The 25,063-nt window shown below is 42.7% G+C and overlaps 1 protein-coding gene, 1 long non-coding RNA gene and 1 other non-coding gene across 6 annotated transcripts in view, besides 1 other annotated feature; all 3 read right to left on the bottom strand.

Annotated features, from left to right (window-relative positions):
* Positions 1-332: 332 nt before the first annotated feature.
* The window catches only part of RCL1 (RNA terminal phosphate cyclase like 1), a 68,123-nt gene continuing 43,392 nt past the window's right edge, over positions 333-25,063 (bottom strand). For 3 of the 4 annotated variants that reach the window (NM_005772.5, NM_001286700.2, NM_001286699.2), the window contains 4 exons: positions 20,042-20,167; positions 16,718-16,874; positions 11,849-11,952; positions 333-1,274 (listed from right to left, as the gene is read on the bottom strand). In NM_005772.5, coding sequence (NP_005763.3) covers positions 1,124-1,274; positions 11,849-11,952; positions 16,718-16,874; positions 20,042-20,167 — 538 coding nt within the window. In that variant the 3' untranslated portion in view covers positions 333-1,123. Of the gene's footprint in view, positions 1,275-11,848; positions 11,953-16,717; positions 16,875-20,041; positions 20,198-21,539; positions 21,632-25,063 lie in introns of those variants that run through there. The other variant, NM_001286701.2, reaches the window with a different exon arrangement.
* On the bottom strand, positions 4,324-11,032 carry LOC124902113 (uncharacterized). The gene is made up of 2 exons (XR_007061402.1): positions 8,137-11,032; positions 4,324-7,585 (listed from the first exon to the last, which is right to left on the bottom strand). It is a non-coding gene; the product is annotated as an uncharacterized LOC124902113 (long non-coding RNA).
* Positions 11,024-11,102, bottom strand: MIR101-2 (microRNA 101-2). The gene has a single exon (NR_029836.1). It is a non-coding gene; the product is annotated as a microRNA 101-2 (primary transcript).
* Positions 18,796-19,090: a silencer, noted in NCBI's record as "tiled region #10284; K562 Repressive non-DNase unmatched - State 14:Gen5'". NCBI's record gives its function as "represses a minimal TATA promoter and a strong SV40 promoter by Sharpr-MPRA in K562 cells {active_cell/tissue: K562}" and the evidence as "EXISTENCE:reporter gene assay evidence [ECO:0000049][PMID:27701403]".

Here is a 25,063-nt window from a genome sequence, read left to right as displayed (position 1 = left end):
GCAGTCTTAAGGGATGAAGTAATCTCTGCACGTGAAACAACAGGCTTGCCATGAAATAGGTGGAGTCCCCAAACATAACAAGTTCTTTGGCTATGATGCAAACTTGTAACATGCATAGCATCTACCTGGGCCCCTCCATGTCCACTGTGAGACAGGGGAAACCAATATAAACACGAAGTTCATGCTGCTTGCTATGCTGAGTAAAGTTCTTTATCTCTGACCCAGGATCCTCATGTCTTCTGGTAGCATCAATAAAAAAGTAATAATCTAACTTATTAGCTTGCAAGGGTAAAATCCCAGACCCTGACTCTATTACACTTATTACACTTAGATCCTTAAATGAGGAGATTTAATGTCTTTACATTATACATTTCAAAGGAACAAAACACCCTTTATGAATTTTCTCATGGAGATAGCACTTACATCACAGAGCTATTGTGAAAATAAAATAAGAATGTACAGCACACCTGGAATATAAAAACATCCCAATAACTTACTTGGAGCCCCGCAGCCATCCATCCCTCACATATAAATACAATGAACCAGATGAAGATCCGTGTCCGTGTCCATGACAGCAATCCATTCAGAAGATCAAAGATAAATAGTCTAATACACCAATTTCTGACATTTGCTTAGCACTGCAGGACTCATGAAGAGCTGCCACTCATATTATCTCATTTAATCCCTACAACAAAAACCAAGGCTCAAGGAGGTGAGTCCTTGCAGAAAGAACAGTAACAGACTCCACAGGTTTGCAAAACAGCCATATGACAGAGGGCTGAGGAAGCCTATGATAGTAGGCTGAGGAAGCACAGCTGAACTGCAGCTACGAGACTGTTCTAGCAGCACGACTGTGGCCTGAAGGCACATTCTTCCTCCAGGTAAGGCAAGGGAGCTCTCATGGTGACTGGGCCCCTCCTGGGCAATGGCAATGCCACTGGAGAAACAGCTGGAAACCATATGCTACAGGGATGTCTTTTATTTGTATATTGATATTTCTTCACAGAAAATTAAGCAAGTGGCTATTCTGTCCTGGATTAATCCATTTGGACTTGGTCCCATTGGTGTCCGTGGCAGCTTCTGCTTTGTCTGTAGGCATTGGGGCCTTATCTTGTGATGGTTATCACTTGAGGGTCTTGCTAAGGTTGGAGAAACCAATGCCAACACAGGTCATCAGCACTTTATCCCCACCCTTGAGTTCTTCACCACATGGCTTGGTTTCAATTTTAAACATAATCTGGAAAAAGCTCTTCAAATGCCGCAAAAATTCTATCCTAAAAAGGAAAAAAATAAATAAATAAATAAAAAGAAATTCATTCAAAAAAAAATTATCCTCTACCACCTAGAATCCAAGGTTTTAATCTCCCAGACCTAGAGGGCTGAAGTTAAGACCTTCTCATCGAATCTGATTAAATAGTACTTCCTTTCAGCCAGCCAGTTTCCAAAGAAGATTTAGATAGTTTGCAGAGATACACGCAATACAGCAAGATAAATTAAACTGGGGGGGGAAAGGTTAGAAGTTCGTACGTGACACATAAGTTATTTAGTTCAGACCTAGCAGAAAATGGACAGAAATATGGTGATGACTCTTTTTTTTATAAGAGATGGGGTCTCACTATGTTGCCCAAACTGGCCTCAAGCTCCTGGGCTCAAGCAATCCTCCACCTCAGCCTCCTGACTACCTGGGACTATGGGTGTCCCAATGTACCTGGCTTAGGCAATGATTTTTGAGTGGCCTATACAAAGACAGAAACACCTATTTCCATGATTCACAGCACCATGACATTCAAAACAAGCACAATGACTACTGATGCTGAAACAGACAAGTCCCTCCCTTCATTCTCCAATAATACCCTCGCATTTACTTAATATGTATCAAGTGCCTACTGTATGCTAGGCACTGTTCTTGGTGCTGGGAATATTGCACTCAAATGAAAAAAAATAAAAATAAAAATCCTTCCCTCAGGAGGATTTCAATCTAGTGGTATAGATAGAGACTAGATAAATAAATTAATTTTATTCCTGAAAAGTGCTATGTAATGTAAACAAAGCAAACAACACAGACGGGGAAGAACTGTGGGTATGACAGTATTTGTACATATTTGGCAGAAGGCAATATTAAATAAGGTGGCCGGGGAAGTGTGCACAGTAAACACAACAAGGACAATGGCATCACAGGGCGATGGCATCAGTCCAAGAGTACCTTGGGAAGAGCAATTCTGTGGATGAACCGCAGTGCAGGTGCACAGGCTTCTAATGGTCTCGCCTGGCAGACCTAGCGTCACCCCAGCTAGCCTGACCATAAGACTCACCTGAACAGTTCATTAAATACACAGGTTCCTGAAGGTTATGGTGAACTTGCAACTGGTAGGAAATGTCCATATGGAAGAGCCCAGAATCACAGTCCACACACAAAGCTGATCCCTCCCTACCCTCCACCAGGCCCTGTACTCCCCAGTTCATAGAGGCCAGAAATCTATGTTGTTAACAAGAATCCCTGGCAAGTCTCATTGGGCAAGGTTAGGGAATACTGGCTTAGTGAAGAATGATGGCTTGCACATCTATAGTGAAGTATTACAAAAACCTCGCACTGTACTGTCTCCCAATCAAACCAGCCAAACTCTCCACTCTGGCCAGATGGTTCTCAATCTCGACTGCACATGGAATAACCTAAGGAGCTTTAAAAACACTGACGCTAAACACATAGATCAATGGAAGAGAATTGAGAGTCAAGAAATAAACCACACAGTTATGGCTAATTTCCTCAATGAGGAAAGCATAATCATTGCAACAAATGATGCTGGAACAACTGGATATCCACAGGTGAAAGAATGAAGCTGGGCCCCTTCCTCACATCACACACAAAACTTAACCCAAAAGAGATCAAAGTCATAGCTGTAAGAGCTAAAACTATAAAGTTCACTAAAGAAAATACAGGAGTAAATATTCATTACCTTGGGCTAGGCAACGGTTTCTTAACCATTTCTTAAATACAACACCAAAAGGATGGCAATAAGAGACAAAATAAATAAATTGGACTTCATCAAAATTAAAATACTTTGTGCATCAAAGTGCACCATCAAGAAAGTAAAAAAACAACCTACAGGATTGGAGAAAAGATCTGCAAGTCATATATCTGATAAAGGTCAGGCATCTCAACTATATAAACAACTCTTACAACTCAATAATAAAAAGACAAATAACCTAATTAAACGATGGGAGAGTACAGGCATGGTACCTCACACCTGTAATCCCAACAGTTTGGGAGGCCAAGGCAGGCAAATTGCTTGGGGCCTGGAATTCAAGACCAGTCTATTACGACCCCCATCTCTACAAAAAAATTGTTTTAAAATTAGCCAGGCATGATGGCAGGAGCCTGTAGTCCTAGCTACTCGAGCTATGATTGCACCACTGCACTCCCACCTGGGCAACAGAGTAAGACTCACTGAAAAAAAAAAAAAAAAAAAGTGGGAGAGCTAAACGGATATTTCCTCACAAATATCCAATAAGGACATGAAAAGATGCTCAACATCACTGGTTATTAGGGAAGTGAAAATCAAAACCACTGTGAAATATCACTTCATATCCAATAGGATGGCTATAATAAAAAGACATACAATAACAAAAGTGTGGGTGAGGAGGCAGAACCACTAGAACCCTCATACACTGCTGGTGGGAATGTAAAACGGTACAGCCGCTGTGGAAAACAACCTGGCAGTTCCTCAAAATGTTAACCGGGGAGTTACCATAGGATACGGTAATTCTACTCTTAGGAATATGTACAAGAGAAATGAAAACATACACCCACACAAAAACTTGCACGCAAATATTCATAATGGCATTATTCACAAGAGTCAAAACGTAGAAGCAACCCAAATGTCTACCAACTGATGAATGCATAAAATGTGGTATATCCATTCAATGGAAGATTTTTTTTTTTCTGCCATAAAAAAGGAACAAAGCACTGATACGTGCTACATCAATGAACCCTGAAAACATTATGCTAAGTGAAAGAATCCAGTCACAAAGGACCAGATAGTGTATGATTCTATCTACACAATATGAAAAAGCCACAACAGGCAAATCTATCACAGAGGCAGAAAGGAGATTCGTGGTTGCCTGGGGCTGGGGAGAGTGGGAAGAATGGGAGGCACTGTGAGCTGGCACAGGGTTTCTTTCTGGGGGTAGTAAAAATGTGCTAAAATTAGATTGTGGCTGTGGTTACACAAGTCTGTGAATACACTAAAAAACCTTTAAACTGTGTACTTAAAATGGGTAAATTGTGTCATATGTGAATTGGTTCTCAATAAAGCTTTTTAAAATAAAGAAATCAATACATATTTGCCATGCTATAAAACAACTGATCCTGGTTCTCACCCCTACTCGGTGTATACCAAACTACATATAAAGCCTGCCTTGATGAATTTCCCTCCCATCCCCATCCCTCTGTGCTAAGAGCACTGATCTAGTTAAAGGAAGGAAACAGCTACATGGAGAAAAGGGGGCCTGAACAATTCCTGACCCTGTGGCTGAAGTGACCAGCGCATCAGGGGCTAAGAGATGAAACATTAACAACCCTAGAGGGCAGGAGTTCTGGTCAGTGCTGGATGCTCATAGAAAAATCCCCCAATTCCTTGCTTTCCTTCCACCTAGGAATGTGCAACTTCATCTCGACCTTTAAAATAACATCCCATTTGTCAACTTTTCTATGAAGTCTTTCCTAGCCCATAAACCCTACCCCAAACGATCTTTCCCACCCCTCCAGGTTTCCATAGCATTCTCTGCTCATGGTGTCTAATTAAATGCTTATGTATCACTGTCCCCTTCCCCATCATTAAATTATTTAAGTACCTCAACAGCAATGCTTTTCTCCAACACTGAACCCGTTATTCAAACAAGGTACTGTATAAGGTTCTCAGTAAAGAGGCACTGAATAGAATTTAGCCTCAGTAAAGAGGCTCTTCTCCATCACTGAACCCGTTATTCAAACAAGGCACTGTAAAGGTTCTCAGTAAAGAGGCACTGGATAGAATTTAGGAGTTGGGGTAATTTTGAGAAACAATTTTCAACATTCTTGGCAATTAAGGGAAGTCAGCTTTCCCTGCTGGCTTTCCTGTCTTACTAACCAATTAAATTTCTGTTGTCGTTGTTGCTTTCTATCCATCCCACCATCTCCCCCATCCTGTCCTAGGGAAAAAAGAAAACACAGCAAACCACAGATAAACAGTCCACATCTGTGGGCAAAGCTTCCAGCTGGCGGCAACCTGGAAAAAGCCAGCCATCTCACCCACTCTGCATCTGAAGGAGAAAACAGATTGGTCTCTCCTTTGCTGCTGCCTCAAACTAACACAGGCCTGGGGCATGCTCTGCTCCCAGGATGTCACCCAGCCTACTTCACTCTGAATCACTCAACTGTGCTTGAAAAACCAGACACCCTCCCCAGCTGGCAGAATTTCTACGGGCCCTCAGCTTGCTTCTGATCTCTTGGAGAAGGATGGGAGGAACACAGGCTCAAGTGTGCAGGCCTGTGTATTTGCAAGTTTGGGGTATTTGTAGCCTTTGGAACAGTTAGAAAAAGCAAAGTTAGTTCCACTTTTTACATAATGTTCTGCCAACTCCTCAGCCTGTCCAAGGAAGACTGTGTAAGAGACTAGATTAAGGTACATTTCAGAATCTTTCCCCCACCTCTAGCCCCATTCTCCCTATGTCTCTGGCAGCTGGGATATTGAAGAGCAAAAATGCTCACAACCTGAAAAAAAACCACAGACAATATTAAATCCCAGCAAACAGCCTCCTTAAGAAAACGAAAAGCAAATGAAGAGTAAGCTCGTCCTGTATCTACATGCACTTGAACAAAGTCTTGTCCAGTGCTGATCCACGTCCTGCTCCACAGCCCAACAGCTCTCCACAGCAGCAGCTGCACTGAGGCACCGCCTCTTGAGTTCATATTTCCCTGCCCCTCTCTTCCACAGCACTACACTGGAGATTCACACTTCCTAGACACAACCACACAGCCACACACCCAGGGCAAAGAGACCCACCGCTCACCGAGAGCAGCTCTGCCCCTCAATGAGTAACCACCCACACAGCGCAAATAGCAGCTTTTCAGAAGAACCATTCTAGGCAGTAGGGGCTCTATGCAACTCCTGTGTAAAGGATTTTAACACCTAACATAGAGAATGATTATCTGCAGTGAGGCTTTTTTTTTCCCCGGGACAAAATGATTTTCAGAAAACAAAAAGCAACTGACTTTTCTACGAAAGCCTCTAGTCCATCTGACAAGCAGGTTTCAGAGAATTCTGGAGCACAGAGATAACTTTTCCTATTTTTTTTTTTTTTTTTTTTTGAGACGGAGTCTTGCTCTGTCACCCAGGCTGGGGTGCAATGGTGCGATCTCAGCTAACTGCAACCTCTGCCTCCCAGGTTCAAGTGATTCTCCTGCCTCAGCCTCCCGAGTAGCTGGGATTAGAGACATGTGCCACCACGCCCGGCTAATTTTGTATTTTTAGTAGAGACGGGGTTTCACATGTTGGCCAGGCTGGTCTTGAACTCCTGACCTCGTGATCTACCCGCCTCGGCCTCCCAAAGTGCTGGGATTACAGGTGTGAGCCACCGCACCCGGCCTTCCTATGTATTTTCAAAAGGTGAGTTGTTCCCACTGCCACTGCTGGTCAACAGGAAAGGCCATGAGGCTTGTGGTCATGGGTCCGTTGAATCCCAACTGACCAGGATTTGACAGGCTGCCAGATCCCACCCTTAAACACAGCCCCTCCCACCAGACCCCTCTTTTGAAGCATGTGAGAGATTGGGGTGAAGGCAATCATGGGGTGAGCCCTCTCTCTGGCAGCCCCCACAGGCACAAACCACAACAGAGGGTCCTGCGTCCTCCTCCACTAAGCCACCTGGTTACTATGCCACTGGATATGGGACAGAGCTGGGGGTACCTACATCTCAGGTGTAAGGACATGCTCTGGAAGTTGAGGGAAAAGATCTGGAGATAAGAAAAGGATCTGCTCAATGGAGTCCCTATAGTCATTACATGGCAGCTTTTAAATATACTGCTGATGCTTTTTCTGCTGAATAGAGGCTTTTCCAAAGACAAGCTGACCTCTGCTCCAAATGAAATTACTACATTCAGTTACTGAGGCAGCAGGAAACAGAGAACTAGGCTAGCTGCACTGTCAGGAGATGGGGTCCCAGGCCCAGTTCAGACAGGATCTCACCATAAGCAGGTCAGTGACCTCTTTTTTATCTGAGAAGGAAGGCTATCACTTGCTTTTACCATACACCAATTATGTTCTAGGGCTCAAACATCAGGTGACAGGGCTTTACAGAATTTAAACGCTTCACAAAACTAAGACATAGTGGTACTGTGCAAGCTCATGGAATGCAGTGAGGCCACTGACCCCAAGTAGAGGCAGGCTTGGCCGGCAGTTCCCAGTTTCCCCACTGGTTTCCTCATTGGTTCTTCAGAGGGCTGAGCTTTAGGCTGAGTGGGCTAGGAAGCCCCACTCAGTTGGTGTTTAACAAGGACAGTGTCCTCTAGCTCCTCAGCACTTCCACAGTCATGGAAAAAGGTCATTAACTAAAGTTAGAAAAAAAAAAGTCACGGTTTATTTTAGATTTCCAACTAAAGATAGAAAGAGATCATTTTACAGCAGAATTTGAAACGAGGACTTTGCTGAAAAGATGTAGCATGGCATCCTGCCTCAGGCAAGGTGCTTGGAGTCCAGCGATATGGATGGAATCCCAGCTCTTACATAAGAGCACAATGGGTTGGCCGGGCACGGTGGCTCACGTCTGTAATCCCAGCACTTTGGGAGGCCGAAGCATGTGGATCACCAGGTCAGGAGATCGAGATCATCCTGGCTAACACGATGAAACCCCGTCTCTACTAAAAATACAAAAAATTAGCCGGGCATGGTGGCGGGCGCCTGTAGTCCCAGCTACTCAGGAGGCTGAGGCAGGAGAATGGCACGAACCTGGGAGGTAGAGCTTGCAGTGAGCTGAGATCGCGCCACTGCACTCAGCCTGGGCGACAGAGGAGACTCCGTCTCAAAAAAAAAAAAAAAAAGAGCACAGTGGGTAAGGGAAGCAGTGACTGGAGGAGACTGTCCAGGTCTGAACCCCACTTACTGTCTGTGTGACCCTGGGCACGTAACTTGACCTCGCTGTGCCTCAATCCCATCACCTGTAAGACGGTGCACATGATAGTACTTGCCTTTTTTGCCCTTATGAAGTTATGATGAAAACCAGATAAGTTATTATGTCTGAGTGCTTAAAACAACATCTTGCACACAGTAAACACGGTGTTGTTTAAATAAACATCTACCTTACAGAATTCTTAGGATCAATAAGATGTGTGTAGTTTGCTCAGTAATGTGACTAGGGGAAGTCAGTCATAAAAATAATAACTAGAAATTAAAATTTTTTAATCCATAATTTAAAATTAATGGATATAGATTTATAGGTAGCTGGGCAGACCACTTACAGATGACTTAAACCCTAAAATCACCCAAAGCAAGTTTACTAGGCCTCCTGGGGTTCAAAGTGACCTGACCGGGCTACTCTAGCCACACTGCCTCTGGGGTAGTCCTGCTCCTCAAGGAGCAGTTAAAAAAAAAAAAAAGTGACCTGACCAAGGGACTGGACTGCAGCAGGGTGAAGGGGTGTCCAGGCAGGAACCACAGCACCCAGCACTGACAGCTCCTCAGGCACGTTGCCAGGAGCACTAAGCATCTGACTTAATCTAAGCTTCGTTCCATCTCCACAAGTCCAGGACTTCAGGACCACGCACCTTATCTACAAATGACACCAAGGCTCCAAGATGCTAAATACCATTTCCACGGTCTCCTGGTAGCGCGTGGTAGAGCCTTAAGTCCAGATAGGCTGGACTCCAAGACTTGTGCACTGGCAGAATGCAGAGAGCTCTGGTAACTGCAGTCTCATTCCACAAATAATTTCTGAAAGTGCTAATTAAGATGCATCTTAATTTTTGCTATTTTTCTTGCTGTTAATCCAAAAGTATAAATCCTCCCTCCCTAAACTGTAAAATTAAGCTTGTTGAATGGAGGGTGCAACTACTGTCACTAACTGTAAGCCACCTAAAACTCAACAAATTTAACAGAAATAGAATCTTCATATACCAGTGATTATCCAACAGTATTTTATTCTACTGAAAAAAAATCTCTTGGGCCTTTCTAAAAGAGTTTCACATTGGCCGGACTTGGTGGCTCAGGCCTGCAATCCCAGCACTTTGGGAGGCCAAGGCGGGTGGACCACGAGGTCAGGAGATCGAGACCATCCTGGCTAACATGGTGAAACCCCGTCTCTACTAAAAATACAAAAAATTAGCCAGGCACGGTGGCGGGTGCCTGTAGTCCCAGCTACTCGGGAGGCTGAGGTAGGAGAATGGCGTTGAACCCGGGAGGCGGAGCTTGCAGTGGGCGGAGATTGCGCCTCTGCCCTCTAGCCTGGGCGACAGAGCGAAACTCTGTCTCAAAAAAAAAAAAAGAGTTTCACACATACAGACTTACTTTCTCAAGTAGCACAGAAAACCACCAACAGCAATCCCAATGCTCTTTACATAGACATTTAAAAAGCTGTTTTATACACACGAAAAACAGGTCCAAACTGCTTGAAGAAATGCTTTTTTTTTTTTAAACCAAGGAAGGTCTTGCTTCTGGTTTTCTTTAGAAATCTGAGGTTTCACAAAACAGGTTTCTATGACTTTAACTACACATAAAAATAAATGTGTTAGTTTGGTCTCCAAAGCTCTTGAATCCATTAGAATAAACTATTCCCCCACCATGATGGTCCTCACCGTGGATTTCATCCCTTTTTTATCCTCAACTGTACTCACAAATACAATGTTAACTTTGCCTGCTGCATCCTGCCTTTGCCCTTCATCTCTTTGTGCTGCTGGAGCTGTCCATAGTGATTAGGGGCAGAAAGAGTATGAAACAGATCCAGCTTTCTTGAAAATAGACTCCCTTACCTGTCTTTATGCTAGCTTACCAAAAAGAACGGAGGCTTCCCTTTCCCACCCTGGCAGACCCGTCTGCACAAAGCTCTGGGAGGCAGCAGAATATCTCTAAGCCCCAGCCTCAAGATACATCATCTTACAATTTGTGCTACTCCTTTAAAGCTCCATTCAGAGCAGGACACTGTTTTCACAGGAGAGGAAGTCATTTTATGCAAGTTTTCTGGAAGAAAAGACACTACAATTAATGTTTGGTGAGAAGATGTGTTGAAGAGGACACAGGAACTTTCAAAAATGTCCAGTCATATCTTGAGCATCTCTGCAAAGCTTGAAAACATCATACAGGTCCTGGAGCCAAATTGAAAAATCTCCAAAAGCAAAAGAAAAAAAGTGTCACGAAAAAAAACATATATGTATTCCATTTTCACAGAATGTTCTGCCAAACCCCATGCCCCAGGACCACACACATTCAAGACAACACCCCATACCTCATACCGTGTGTGCAAGCAGGACTTCCCCAGGCCTGAAGCAAGGGCTGGGAAACGGCAGCTACGAGCCCAGCTACAAAGCCGGTGGGGCCACAGTGGCCACACAGCTGGCAGCCGCCTCCAGTGAGCTCTCTACAGGAAGCGAGTCTCTGTACCTAGGGTGCCATTCTTCCAGCCCTCATCTCCTCTCCAAGTACTTAACTACCAAGTCTATTTTAGCATTGTTTACTACTGATGTTACCACGCCATTTAGGATTACTCAATTTTAGGTATCCTGTCCTACGAAATACTTTTACACAAGCTATCAGGAGATAATGTGGTCCTTACCAGTTTCCTGCTTATCAGTCTTCCCTCTCTGCTAACAGAATGTATTCTCTTCCATTTTCCTGTTCTAAAAAAACCTCCCACCACGAATTCCAAAAAAAAAAAAAAAAAGAAAAAAAAAAGCCTCCATAAGAATTTATTTCAAGCTCCTGGTTTTCATGCCCCCAACGCCATGGCCCAAGGGTGCATAGCCCCACCGCAGTCCTCAACCCTTTCTCAATGTGATGGCACCACCATTCTTCAGTTATCACAGTACTGTACCTTTCAGATATACAGCATCGGTACCATGATAACCGAAAAAGGACAGTTCAGTCTCATATCTACCTGAATATTCCCTGCCACCCAGCTCACCAACCTCAGATGGGCCATATGATGATCTCCAAGTATGCAAGCACGTGAAAACACACACACACAATGTCAGTACTCAAATAGGCTGTTTTCCGCAACCTCATTTACTATCAATAGGAAATGCTTCTTTCACAGTGTCATTTATAATTCAAGTCTTCTGACACTGTTCTTTTTGAAGAGTGCTTGCTTTTACACCACAGCAGTCAACTTCTGCTAACATTCAACAATCCAAACTCACTTCTACAATTCCCTACTAGTCCAGTAGCATTAATACAAACTCTGTCTTTTGTCATCTTTCCCAGTGAGCTCATATCCTATCATCTTAGACAAAAAGCCTGTTTTCCCACAGCAAGTTAGACAGCTAAGGAAAAGAATGATTAAAAAAAAACTAGTAATAAAATCCAAGCTACACCAAACCAGGAGTTTACCTCTAACCTGGAAACAAAATCTAAAGCACGAACAAAATAACTGCCCAATAGAGATCATGCAATTTCAGTTACCTGGGATTAAGGAAGGAAAGAAATGCAAAAATCCTTGTATGTAAAAATAAACACCAGGTTAAGAGTGACAACTGCTGGCTGATTTGAGGATAAACACAAGCAGGTGTTCATAGTGCAGGCTCTGTGCAGCACAACACCCTTTGTCATTTTGGGCAATGAGAAAATTACACTGGACAGAATAACGAGGTTGAAAAAGAATAACTTACGTGTAGGGAGAGAGAGGGCCTAGCAGGACTTTGGAAACATCCTGCTGTCCAAGGGTCATGAGTAGTAGCGCCAGGCTTTGGTTGGTCGAGTCTACGCATCCACCCTGTAAACACAAATTAATAATTGTACAAACCAGAAAATGGAAAGCCAACAAAAGAGAGGAGGAAAAAAAAAACCAGAAACATACACTCATAATATCAAAATCCAAAGTTCAAGCAACAATAAAACAGAATACAGGTCTTATAAGAGTAATCATTGTATCAACTAACTGTAGAGGGTTAAACTAACAGTTAATTAGAGCAACTGTAATAGTTGAGACTATCAGAATGAGACTATCAGATTCAAATCTTCTTAAGTGAATCTAGTAAAAAAAAAAAAAAATGAAACTTTCCCTTTATCATTAAAGCAGCAGCAGGAGGACATCATCTTTATTGAGTATATGCAAAAAAAAAAAAATCTTAATCAGTTCTAGAAGATGTAGAGTTAATTCCAAGGGTTAAGTGGATGACGCTCATATTTATTGAATCTGTCACAGAACAACACAGTCTATCTGACATGAAACGGCCTTTTCATGGCCTTACTTTTACACTTATTCAAATACATTCAGGAAACTGCTTGCCATACTCTATTAACTTCTCTCCTTTATCTCTTCCTGAGTTCCTTAAAACTGAAGACTTGTTAAGGTTAGATCCCTTTATTCTTACTACTTATGTATAAAATTATGCCTTCCACCCCCTTTTCCTTCCCTTTCTTCCAAATTAACAAGCAGAACAGACTTCTCTTCAAACACTTTCTCCTGAGGTACAACTGCTTAGGTTGCCTTTCTTCTTTTGTTTTTCATTTTCTCAGCCATTTTAACTGTTTTGCCTCCACTAGACGCATACATAAGCATACAAACACGCTTTCTGATCATTCTTTCTGGAATAACTTTAAAACATATTGTACATAGTCAAAGAAGGATGACCTTGAATTTCTACATATTTTGCACAGGTCAAAATTAGAAATCCAGTCTGACCAAGGCACGTTACTATCCAAGGCTAGACTGAACAGGATAGGTGGCCAGCAGTGTGGTTCATATGGCTACAACTGCCCCTGCCTCCTTTTTAAGGCATGTAGGGTAGGAAATAAATCCATTTTCAGATACAGACACTCTGAAATTCTCTGGCTGTCAGATATCATTTAGTAGCCCTAATAATGGTGAAGGAAATAAGGATTGATCTTACTGCTAGCCTTTATGAAAATCTATTGCACGTCCCTAAACTACCTTAGTTAATAAAGGACAGAAAACAACATTTAGATCACATAGCAAATTCTAGGACAAGGAGAGTTCCTTTTCCTTTTCTACCCAAAAAGAAAAACCTGACCCATGGAAAATATGACGACCAACAAAACTGTTTTATAGATCTTGCTCCCTTTCATAAGACAGCCTAAAATTAAAGTGTTCTCTTCAGTCTCTGCTTCCTATCACTGTTGTTATTTCACCATTCACTGGACCAGTATTTTAATGTAATAGATAGCTAAGGTCCCTGTACAGGACATCATGGAGGAAGTGGTAGGGGCTATCACCCTACCTATGCTGGGGGGAGGTGTCACCTGCCAGATACCTGAGGAGGGCTTTAGGACTCAGGACTACTTGAGCCAGCCCTTGAGAGATGAGCAGGGTTTGGGGAGGAAGGAAGAACAGAATGATGGGGAAAAATAAAATGCCAGGGCCAGCAAGGAATGGCCAGGTGACCAGCCTGGAAGGCACCACTGCTGCCTGTGGAGAAGCACATACAGCACAGAGAAGGTGGGTAGCCCAATTAAGGCAAGCCTTTCCGAAATGGGTCGAGAATTCTGACTTTGTCCCAGGAAAGTGAGAAGCCAGTGAAGGTCTCTGTGCACATGAGTGAAGAGATCAGATCAGTATTTTAGCCTGAAAAGGATGTTAGGATTTGGAAAGAACTTCTCTGCTAGAAATGCAGAGAGCCAGTGGCCATAATCCAGTTGTGGAGTGGAGCAGGGAGGCAGGCAGTGATTAGAGCAGTGAAAAGGATGGAAAGAAAAGGCAGTTCCAGAAAGCCTGGGACAGAATCAAGAAGGCTTGGTAACCGATGAGGCATAAATGGAACAGGGGGGATTAGATCAGAGGCTTAAAACTTGATAAATAGCACCTTCAAAAGGGATGGATTTTTTACCACTCATTCAATCCATGTCACATCACAACTCTACAGAAAATTATTCAGAAAAACATGAAGTATTTCCATCCTTTTAATAATTAAAGATCATAGACATAAAAAGGAAGTTTTCTGAATAACTAAAAGAAAACGAAAGAAATTTGGTCCAGGCACAATGGAAGACTGAAAGTAGATCTCAACTAAAGAAAAAAAATTGCCAGGCACAGTGGCTCACGTCTGTAATCCCAGCACTTTGGGAGGCCGAGGCGGGTGGAACACCTGAGGTCAGGAGTTCGAGACCAGCCTGACCAACATGGAGAAACCCTATCTCTACTAAAAATACAAAATTAGCCAGGCGTGGTGGCACATGCCTCCAGCTACATGGGAGGCTAAGGCAGGAAGATCACTTGAACCCAGAAGGCAGAGGTTGCAGTGAGCCAAGATCACGTCACTGCACTCCAGCCTGGGAAAGAGTGAGACTCTTCCTCAAAAAAAAAAAGAAAAATATTAAAGAACCTAATTTAAACTGCATGTTTTTCCTCTTGTGGAGTGGTAGGTGCTTTTACCCTGAGGCTTATAGCCTGCTATTTATAGGGATATAAACCCCACACTCTAGCTGTGCCCATAGGCTCCTACTGGACTACTGTATAATGTGATGCTTCTAATTCTCCCAAGGTCTATTAGAAAGACATGGAAGTGTCCCCATAGTTAGAGAGAAGGCCACTACAGGACCAGCCACGGCCAGACACTACAGGACCAGGAAAAGAAATCCTGCACAACAAGAGACCCAGGGAAACACATTGCATGCACTGTTTCCCGCCCCCCTACAAATAAGTAGACCACAAACTTCGTGAATTAAGTAACTGGCAGGGCAACCTCTTGATCATCTACCCCAAACTTTTAGTTACTACCCATTTTTCACAAAATTATTAAATTTAGCATAAAAAAGTAAACTGATTTAGCACCAAAACATCTGAGGCCAGATCGTGACTGCACAAGACTTGTCAAAGAATACCTCCTCCTTCAGGAAGATTTCATCTCCTTCTTCTACTATTTCCCAGGTGAATGCCGAGTAGAGGGGCTGGAGCTACTCTCCTGAAAATAAAACTATAGGTCCACTGTCTTCCATTTTTAATTAGATGGTCATTAAATAGAGCCATTTAGGACCTGGAAATTTAATTAATTCTGAAACAGCTCATTCTCATGTGTTCCATCTTGGACCAATGAGACATTTTCAAGAACACTGACTTGGATCAAGGGAGTAGACTATAAATATAAGCTGTTTTCCACTGTGAGGCTGGTCTGAGGATCAATACCTATGGCTAGTCAGGCTTTACCCTACCACCCTGATTAATAAACTGAACCAGTGGCAAAAGGAAGAATTAAAAGAAAAACTAAATTGCCACTTTACCTGTTTTACTGATTTTATTTAACTTGGCTCAGATGTGATTTTTGCTACCATAAACGAGAAAACTTACTTGGAGACCAGAAAGATGCCTGACAACTGAGAAGAAATACACAGAACAATACAAAGAAAGAAGTCTCTTCAGCTCCTTAGGGGAAGAAGAGAGATGATTTACAAACATTATACACCATACAACAGCAAATCAACTAGAGTATAGTTCTTGCTGATGCTCAGTTCAAGAATCTGGGACCTAACACACAGAGCAGAGAAACGACCATCCTTCAGAGCCTTTCCTGGACTCTGCATGTCAGAGAAAAGGTTTCACCTTCTTGATGTGGGACCAAGGCAAAAGACGGTGCAGACTAACAGAAATCTTGGACCCAGATTTGTGACCCTCTTCTAACCAAGTATAGGGGATCTCAGGGAATATATCTTTTAGGAAACTGTATCTTATTCTTTCTGCCATCATCTTTCCAAATTTCTCCCTTACTTTAGGTCACCTCACCTATTTTGAGGAAACAGTAAAAGTGTGTGCATGCATATGTGCCCGTTGCAATGAAAGGATCAACAGAGAAAGACTGTGGCAACTGAGAGGGCAAATTGGTCTCAGCTGTGTCCCACCAGCAGACCTGCAGAAGCAAAATGACAACTGGTTGAGTCTGTCTTCAACATCAGTTTACCCCTTCTCTGTTCCATGTTCTTAGGTTTTCCAAAGCTTCTGCTATGCTGTGCCACAGGCCTGCCTTCCCTAGTTATTCTGTGCTTTTTTAAATTTTTTTCTTCTTTTCTAATACTTATCTGTTAACTGAGATTCTGTGCTCTAGAATGCATTGCAAAATCTAGCCTGTTGCTATTGTTTTATATATGAATCAACTGTCACATACAAATCCAGATTTCTAGCTTCTCTTAAAAGATCTAAAAAGAATGAGTCCATCTTCCCACATGGCAGCAATCGGGGGGTGCCGGGATGGTACTCTCTTTGGCTAGGGCAGTGTGTCAGCCACCACCTTACCTTACCTGCTTCCTTTTTTTAACCTTCCCTTTCCTTTATGACTGTTCCAGTTCTTTCCTTGGCTCACTGTTAAAACTTACCTGCCCTGTGTCTCAACCCAGTGGGGCTAGATCTCTACTCACTGACTGGTTGAGCTAATCAATTAAACTAGTTAAGGCTGAACTGCTTAATGCACAGGAACAGATTATCTCCTTGGCTTGAGCCCTTGGAAGAGGACGAAAGCTGCCAAGAGATGAGAATGAGAAAACAAACTGCTTCCTGGTCACTCCTCTATCAGAGGAAGCTGTGGACATACCCTGTAGATTTCCTCCAGCAGCAGCCGGGCACAGTTCCTGCCAAGGTCCTCTGGAAGTACTGCTGCTCCCTGGCCCTGGGGGTTGGAGGCCAGTTCAGCACTGAGGAAGGTGCCACTGGTGGTCTCAGCAACCAGTGACAACCCAAAGCCCGGAGACCTGGAGATACAAAGGCACAAACACTGAGTAGGTTTAACCAAGTGAGGTTTCCACTCACCAGCAAACGGAAAGAGAAGACAAACATTTTTTTTGACGGCACTGTGTTCAAAGGCTTCTTTCTGGCTGCATTAACCTCATAGAGTTGCTACTAGTTTACTAGCTGACCAGAAAAGAAAATCAGTCCAAAAACAAGCATCTCTCCACAAAATTTTAAGATTTGACAGCTCAATTCTACTTTCCCAATGACTGTTAAGTAGACACATCAACAGGAAAGGTGTGGCGGCCTTCCCAGCAGTACAATCCGTATGCAACCACAACACAGACCTGCCCCCTTTAACACAACTCAACACACGCTCACACAATACTTTCTATGTGTCTGGCAGGAGACTAGCCAAAATACTTGTTTCACTAAAACTATGTATAAAATTAATGTTTCGAATGCACTATATGAGCTCACTATATAGAAGAACTATGTTAGTCAGTCCTTAGATTCTTAAGGAAAAAAAAAATTTGCTTGTCTATGCAGTCGAAGGTTAACAACACCTGCCAAGGAAAGGGGGTGCAGTGAGTTACCCATTTCATCAAAGGTTCTGGGAGGCACTCTGAGTTATGCTTAACAATCTAACACTGTGCTATCCACCTATCATCATGGGACACCTAGAGAATTTTAGCATAATCCCAAATTGCCTTTGAGTCACCTGACCAGCAGAAGTGAGAGGGTGTCCAGCAGTGGCTGCAGGCAGTGGCATACAAAAGTGAAGATTAGAAGATGAAGGGGAGAGAAAGCAAGACAAGGTGCCACTGCTGCTTTACCCATTTACCTGCATTTCCCAAGAATTTCCATCTGTGTGAGTTTTCTAAGGTGTATTTGTCATTACGATAAACTTTATATTTAATCAGAATTATTCCATTTAACACAATTTAAGTAACTTTAGAAAAGACAAAGAATATATATTAGGTTCTATGTAAATTACTCTAATTTTTCTTCCCAACTTGTGGGAAATATGTGTTATCAGGCCTATTTCAAGTTAGGCTGACCAAGCTGCTGGTCATCAGGTGACCTCATTAGAGATATGCACTGGTATAGTTTGCAAAGGCCAGCCTCCACAGCTTTCCTTGGTAAAGGACCCAATTAAGAAAAAAAAAAATTACTGTGAGAGTTAAAATGGGACCACACTGGACTGATGTGCATTCTGGCCAAAGCGCTGACATAGGCCACCAAGAAGTGCTGTCCCCTAAGGTTCTAGGCCATGGCCACAACATAAACTCTTACATCTGAACAAGCCTGACTTACTGGATACTTCACTGAATCAGAAGAGAGAAATACCCATCCATGACTTTATAATTTTAATAACAGAGAAGGAAGAGCACTATTAGTCATCTGTAACTGGAGATTTAAAAAAACCAAACACAAATTTAAATCCCACATTGGTTTTACATGTAATTTTTAAAATGGGGCTTGGAGTTGATGGCCCACAGTCTACATCATGTCCATGTCTTTATCTACGTGTAAGGCTTCTACTCACCATTAGTAAGTATGGACTTGACCACACTCTAGGGTCAGCTGAGTCAGTGGTATAACAAAAAGCCACACTATAAGCTGGTGGCAGGATGGCTGTCAGGCCTGCTCTGCTTCATGCCAGGACACTTTCTGATAAAGCGAGAGGCAAAGCAGAGAAGGGACTATCGAGATGAAGCCATTTAGACAGCTTCTGCTGCTATCTGTCCTCCCCCATCCCTCGGAAATCCCCTTTCTCCAGAAAATAGCTGACACATAATTCCAGACCTGTGGCCAACAAGGGAGAGTAAAGGAAAGAACAGCATCAGGAGCTACCATTTCTGTAGGACTTACCATGTGACAAGCAAGGTATTAATGGCTTATATGTGTGATCTTTACAATAACCCCAAAACATAGGCATCATCACCCTCAATGCATAAATGAGGAAAATACTGTTGTTACTAGAATATAAACCAAAGGTTTAGGAACATCATTGACTTTTCCAAGCCAGAAAGTCCAGCTTTGCCCACAAATCCTTTCCCAACCCCAGCGTTATGACGCCACCAGCTTTGTTGCTTTGGACTATGAGCCTCCACTGTATTTCTAAAACTACCTTCATCTTTCCATTGGGCCTTATAAAGGTCAAAGGTTGTATAAAACACTCACCCCCCTCCTTTACTCTCTTTTCCTCTTTTTGCTGAAATTAAAAGAAACCACAGGTGAAACAGCTGTGAAAAAGGATCAGCTGTGGCATCACTTAAGAAGAAGTTGACTTCTTAACCTACAACAGTTAACCCCAGACTCTAATATTCTTATTTTTAGGAGACACAACCTGCAAAGCCTCAGATGTGAAGTGAAATGATGCCCATTCACACTGAAATGATTCAGTAAAAAACAAAAACAAACAAAACCCACAAACAAGTGAAGCAAATTTGGCAAAATATTTATCGTTAACTATAGGCAGCAGGAGTATATCTCCGTGTTCACTGTACTATTCTTTGATCTTTTCTGTATGTTTAACACTTTCCTATTTTAAGAAAGTGGCTTTAATTGCTTCTCTAACTTCCTAGTTGCTAAATACACAAGCAAAGCCTAAAACAGGTATCTTCATTACATAGAGCATCATTTTTTAAGAACTTATTTTCCTTACTTAGAATTTTTTTCTAATTTTTAAAATTTTTATTTTTTAGCAAAGCAAAGGCTTTCACTAAACCAAATTCACGTCTGCAATAACAACTTTCTCTGGATGTAAATATGTTGTTTCCACTGATGAAGAGAGATGCTGACTTACACTTAGATAACAAAAGATTTTAACCCTATACTGTTATTTACTCAGGGTGGAAGAACCTGTCCACTTTAATTTTTTTGTTGGAACAGAGTGCAGATGGAATTTAAAGCCTAAAGCATTGTGTATTAATAGATAAAGGTTTTAATTCCCCAAGGCTAGGAACCAGACCCTTAGCTTCCAGCTCTAGCCACTGGGATGCTTTCCATGTGACAGGCACTCAAGAAATGCCTGTTGGTGACAACGGCAATAAGGCAGAAAGAAATTAATTCTGAAATTGTTCTTCCTCTGGCTGCGCAACCTCAGAGCTGGCAGTTTTAACTTCAACTAGAACAGGCATGTGAAAAAGCTGCAGAAACAGACTTCAAAAACACAGATACTTACTTCCCAGAGTTGACTCCTTTCATGTGATCTGTGTAAATATAGATATCAGGTATGAACTTGTTGAGGATGCTCCTTGCAGAATCCACAATCCGGTTCGCCATCTGAGGTGACACACGTACAGAGTACCTGCAGCCTGGAGTTAAGGATGTCATTCTGCTTGAATTCCAGGACAGAGAAAAATCAGTTATAAAGCTGGCAAGTATTTGTGGAACTGTAGTAACAAACTGGGACTTCCAAATCTATTGTTTTCCAACTGAATTTACTGAATTAGTACCATAATTAAATTTTTTTCATTATTATAAAAGGTCATGGCAAAAACACCCAAACAATAGAGACAGTGGAAAGTATAAAGCTGGAGGTCCTCAACCCCACCCCCTGACTTCCTACCCACACGCTTCCCCTAGAAATGGTTCAAGTCAATTTTGGAAGGTGTAAAGACACCTGCCTCTCTGCGGGTCATGATCCAGGCTCCCTCTGAAGCACAACACCTAAGAACACTTTCTATTCTCTGTCCATTCCCACTGCTGTAGCCAATGAGTCTCTCTCTTAAGAACCTAAGCCCAGAACAGACACCACACAGGACCTGGGCGATCCCAATCTGACTCCTGGTATGCTGATGGGAGAAGCAGAAAAAGTTCAGTGAAAGAACATGGTTGCTGCTATTTATAAATATATAAAAAGGTTTTTCTCATTTACAGGGCCTATTTTCTACTATTTAAGAATTAATTACTCCACTTGTGGATAACACAGCCTCCTCACACCTGCTACCTTATGGTTAAAATATTGATAATTAGCACTCCTACAATAGGGCACCCCAGAAAAGAAAGGAGGAAGATATTAGTAACTCAAGTGAAAAGATTGGTGCTTGAGGAAATGGAAATTATTGCCTAAAACTAGACTTTATAACAGAAGCTGGCATTCCCCAACCACACATGTCAAAGAAAAAGTAAGTATGTATTGAGCACTTCAATGTGCAATGTATGGTCAAGAGATGGCTATATATTTGGAACTAAAAAAATGGAGAAATAACATGTGACCTTCCCACTACCCTGATACAAACCCCACGTGACAAGTCCAACAGGTAGAACGAGGTATATAATCTGCCCAATCCAGCCCAATGTTCAAGAACTGCTGACAATAACATATTTAATTTTCATCTGAACTGCAGAAACAAAGTGCTCAGAGACGATACATGACCTGATCTGGTATCTAGCTCCCTTTTTTGACCCATCCTGAACTTCATACTAAAAGACCAATCTTCCTCATGCTGGTGACAGTCTCTCGGTGGCTCCTGGTCCTCCCATATCTTGTTGTTAGAGCCCCCAGCCTGCTCAGTTGTGTCCATCTTCAGCTCTGCACCATCAACTCCTTCCACCCATCCAAACTGACCAAATTCCTCAACCTGAGCTGCTTTGCCCCATTCTCCCAGCCCGAGGTCCCAATCTCTCTCCTGAAACCCTCCAGCCGGCACCCAAGTGTTAGCTCCACTTGAACTTACCATACATCTCTCTTCACATATGCACATTTTGTTCTTGCTCTTCAATGAGACCACACACTCTATAAGGGCAAGGGCTTTACCTCTGTAATCCCTCCCAACTCTCCAATACACCACTTTTGTACTCAGAAATGCTCAATAAATATTTAACTTGACTCAAAGGACAAACCTGAAATGAGGAAAGAGCAAAGAGGGATTTTTCAATACACACACAGCCCAGTTACATCACCATCTCTTCAGTCCAGAATGTACTTTTGACCACAGACAGCTTAGACAAACAGTCCTGAATCTCATACCCTTTGGACCAAGCAGGTGCTGTCCTTCTGAGGTCTGAGGCTGCCCACTGTCCCCAGGAAAGCACAAGAGATGTCACCATCCTAGCACATAATCCCACAGAGCTCACGGCTCCCAAAGTTCTTTCACATCTATTATCACCTTACTTTATGCTCACAGTAACCCTGTGTTGAGGGCCATGGCTCCGAGTTCTAGGACTTACATTAAAGACAACTAAGACAAAAAAACTAAGACACTTGCTCAAAATTAAACAGATCTGACTCCCAAAAAGCATCTTCCTCCTCTCACCCATCCCAATACAAAAACACGAAGGTTAACAAACAGTACGAATTCAGGGCCTACAGAATCCTATACTAGAACTCAGGCAATGAAATGAAGAAGGCAAAGGAACTTTAAAGCCAGTTGCTTAGAACCATCTGGCTTGGCATGGATGTCCTACTAAGGAATGGCTAACAGCCCCCAAGTTCTAGAATCAGATTATCTCCGTTCAAGTCCAAGCTCCAGCAAGCTGCATCACTCCAGGTTAATTGTGGTAACTTCTCTGTGCTGTCATTTCCTAATCAGTAAAAGAAGGATAATCATAACACTTTCCTCACAGAGTTTGGAGGCACAAATGAAATAAAATGCATGTAAAGCTCTTAATGCCTAGTGTGTAGTAGGAGCCCAACAAATGTCAGCTATTGCTTTTCTTTATTACTTATCCAAGATTCAAATCCCAAGCAGAGGTTCTTATTCTTTCAAGAATCAGAGAACTCTCTGAGAATCTGATGAAAGCTATGGACCCTCTCCTGAGAAACATATATACTCACAATCTTGCAGAAAATTTTTCAGGTTTATGAACCTCCTAAAGCCCATTTATGAAAACCATATTAAGAACCAATACCAATGTACAAGTCCATAGCTACAGTCCATATGGGACTCCCACTCTTCCCCTTCCCCAATGTTCCATGTCAGAGAAAGCTAAGAGGGGTGTGTGTGTGTATGTTACAGTAGGTGGAGAGAGAGCTTGATTCTCAAAGTACCTTTCCTACAGTCAAGGAAAAGAAACTAGATTATCCCACGAATTCCAACTTATCCCCCTTTACTGCCAGCTTTTTCACTTAATTCTCATGTACCAAATCATGAGCTCCTAGGACAGCACTGCAAAACTAAAACAGAATGTTCCTTTCTCTTACGCCCCACATAAGGCAGGGGTGAGAAAGAGTGGGTGGCATTAAGTAAAAGGTAACTACTGTGTAGTCACAGCTGCTGGCAGGAACCAACACCAGCTCCCTCTGGGCCCTGGCTGGTAGGTCATCTTGTAGAACGCAAGAGGGAAAAGATGCACTTTGGAAGTAATTCAGTTAAAACCACAAATGCACACAAGAGAGTGGGCCTCTTTCTCCCAGTCTGAGCCCTCCCATGGGAAATACAACCTCCAAGCTTAGTCCAGTAGTCAACCAGCCTTGCAAGGAAAAAAACCACAAAACCAACTCAAGCTTTTTCCAAAGGCAGCTCTTTTTTCCCAGGCTCCAAAACTGGAGAAGAGGGCGATCTCCATTCAAACCAACATTCCTTTGAGGTGTTTGTGAAATGGGCAGCTCTGCAGAGCAGTGGCTGAAATGTTTGGTTAACAGACAGGGATCTGAGAAAGGGCACTGTGTCAACTCTCCTGGGGAGCCAGGAGGAAGCCTCAACCAGTCAGAGATATATTGGGGATGATTTCCATGTCCTATCCCCTGCCTCCAGGGAGGGAGGAACTTGGGACCTCACAAGTCTCTTCCTGGCTCAGATTCTACACAGGGAAGGTTCCAAGAACATTAGAGGGAGAAGCCAGGGAGGAACATAGTTACACCCAAGGTGCCCGGCACTACAGCTCTTTTAACTTTTATGTTCTCCCCTGGAAAGCCCTTCCCCATTTCCCAGCATCATCATCAAAGGACACGACCATCTGCACACCCAGAGAGAACAAGGGGGACCCCACTGTGATGAAACCCATGTTGTTATGACAAGATTGTGTCAAAACAGAGCACACTGCCAGAAATCACATTTCCAGACTACAGAGACTGGATTCCAAACAAAGTTCACGGCCGCCAATACAGCATTAAGGAAACACATCTCAAATAAGGAGGAAAAAAAACAACTACCCCCCAGACAAACCCAAAATAGTACTGAAAGTGTATTCCTGTACACTTATTGGAATGTATTGGAAAGTGTATTCCTATACACTTATTACACTTTTTTTCACCATTGCCAAAAATGTTGTGGTTAAAGCCATTAACCGCAGTGTATTTGGCAACAGTGAAAAGCAAAAAACAACTCAATGGCCATCAACAGGATTTGATTTTGGGTTCTATATATGGTGGAATACAATGCATCTGTTAATAAGAATGAATTCAAGTAGAAAAGGCACATTTGGTTTCAAAAACACACACCTAGTTACATTGCATTTCCATTTCTTTGTAACCTAATTAACCTTATTCCAGCTCCTCGGATTTGGATACTAGAGTTGAATATCACCTTAGAAAGTCACCTGGGCAATGTAACTATGCATCAACCTGGGGGCTCCTAGGAAAGGAACCATTTCTCCTTTTGCCTGTTCTCTCCTGGTACACACAAGGCTGGGCGCTTACATGGGCTGGGGGACAGCCATGCAGAGAACAGACCATAACCCAGGAAGGCTTTGTTATTATGTATTCCTGTGGTTTTGATGATCCTTAAAAAGAACTTCAGGCAGCAACCCAAGTTTGAGCTTCTATCTTAACCAGCACTCTCTCTGCACATGGCTCTGCAGCCCACCCTACTCCCTGCCCTTCACCACTTACTGTTCAAGCTATTCGAGGCCTCTGAAAAGACAGTCCACGCTACACCTTTCTTCCTCCAAGTAATACCATTGCCAAACCTCCTGAGAACACAAAACCCGACCTTAAGCACCCACCCCCGCCCTGACAAGCAGGCTTTCTGGTCTGCCCTCCTTGTCACACTCCCGCCAGGAAAGTCATCCCACAGCCTGTCTTGCTCTACGGCCTCCAACACCTGCTCCCACCCAGATCCTGTCAGCACCTAGAATTTTACCACTTTTAATATCTGAAATCCCAAAACAAAACTCCCTAAACACAATCTCTTGTCCTACACAGTACATGTATCTATTTCCACTAGATCTGATCTTTAAGCCTGTTAAAGTTTCTCATCCCTTGACCTGCTTTGTCCAGGCTGGTGAGCCCCTGTGACAATCCTCAGTGAGGAATGTACTT

The sequence above is a fragment of the Homo sapiens genome, chromosome 9, assembly GCF_000001405.40.
Source record: "Homo sapiens chromosome 9, GRCh38.p14 Primary Assembly".
Lineage (NCBI taxonomy): Eukaryota > Metazoa > Chordata > Mammalia > Primates > Hominidae > Homo > Homo sapiens.
The sequence above is the reverse complement of the archived record's forward strand: the minus strand, read 5'-3'. Positions and strand labels throughout refer to the sequence as shown.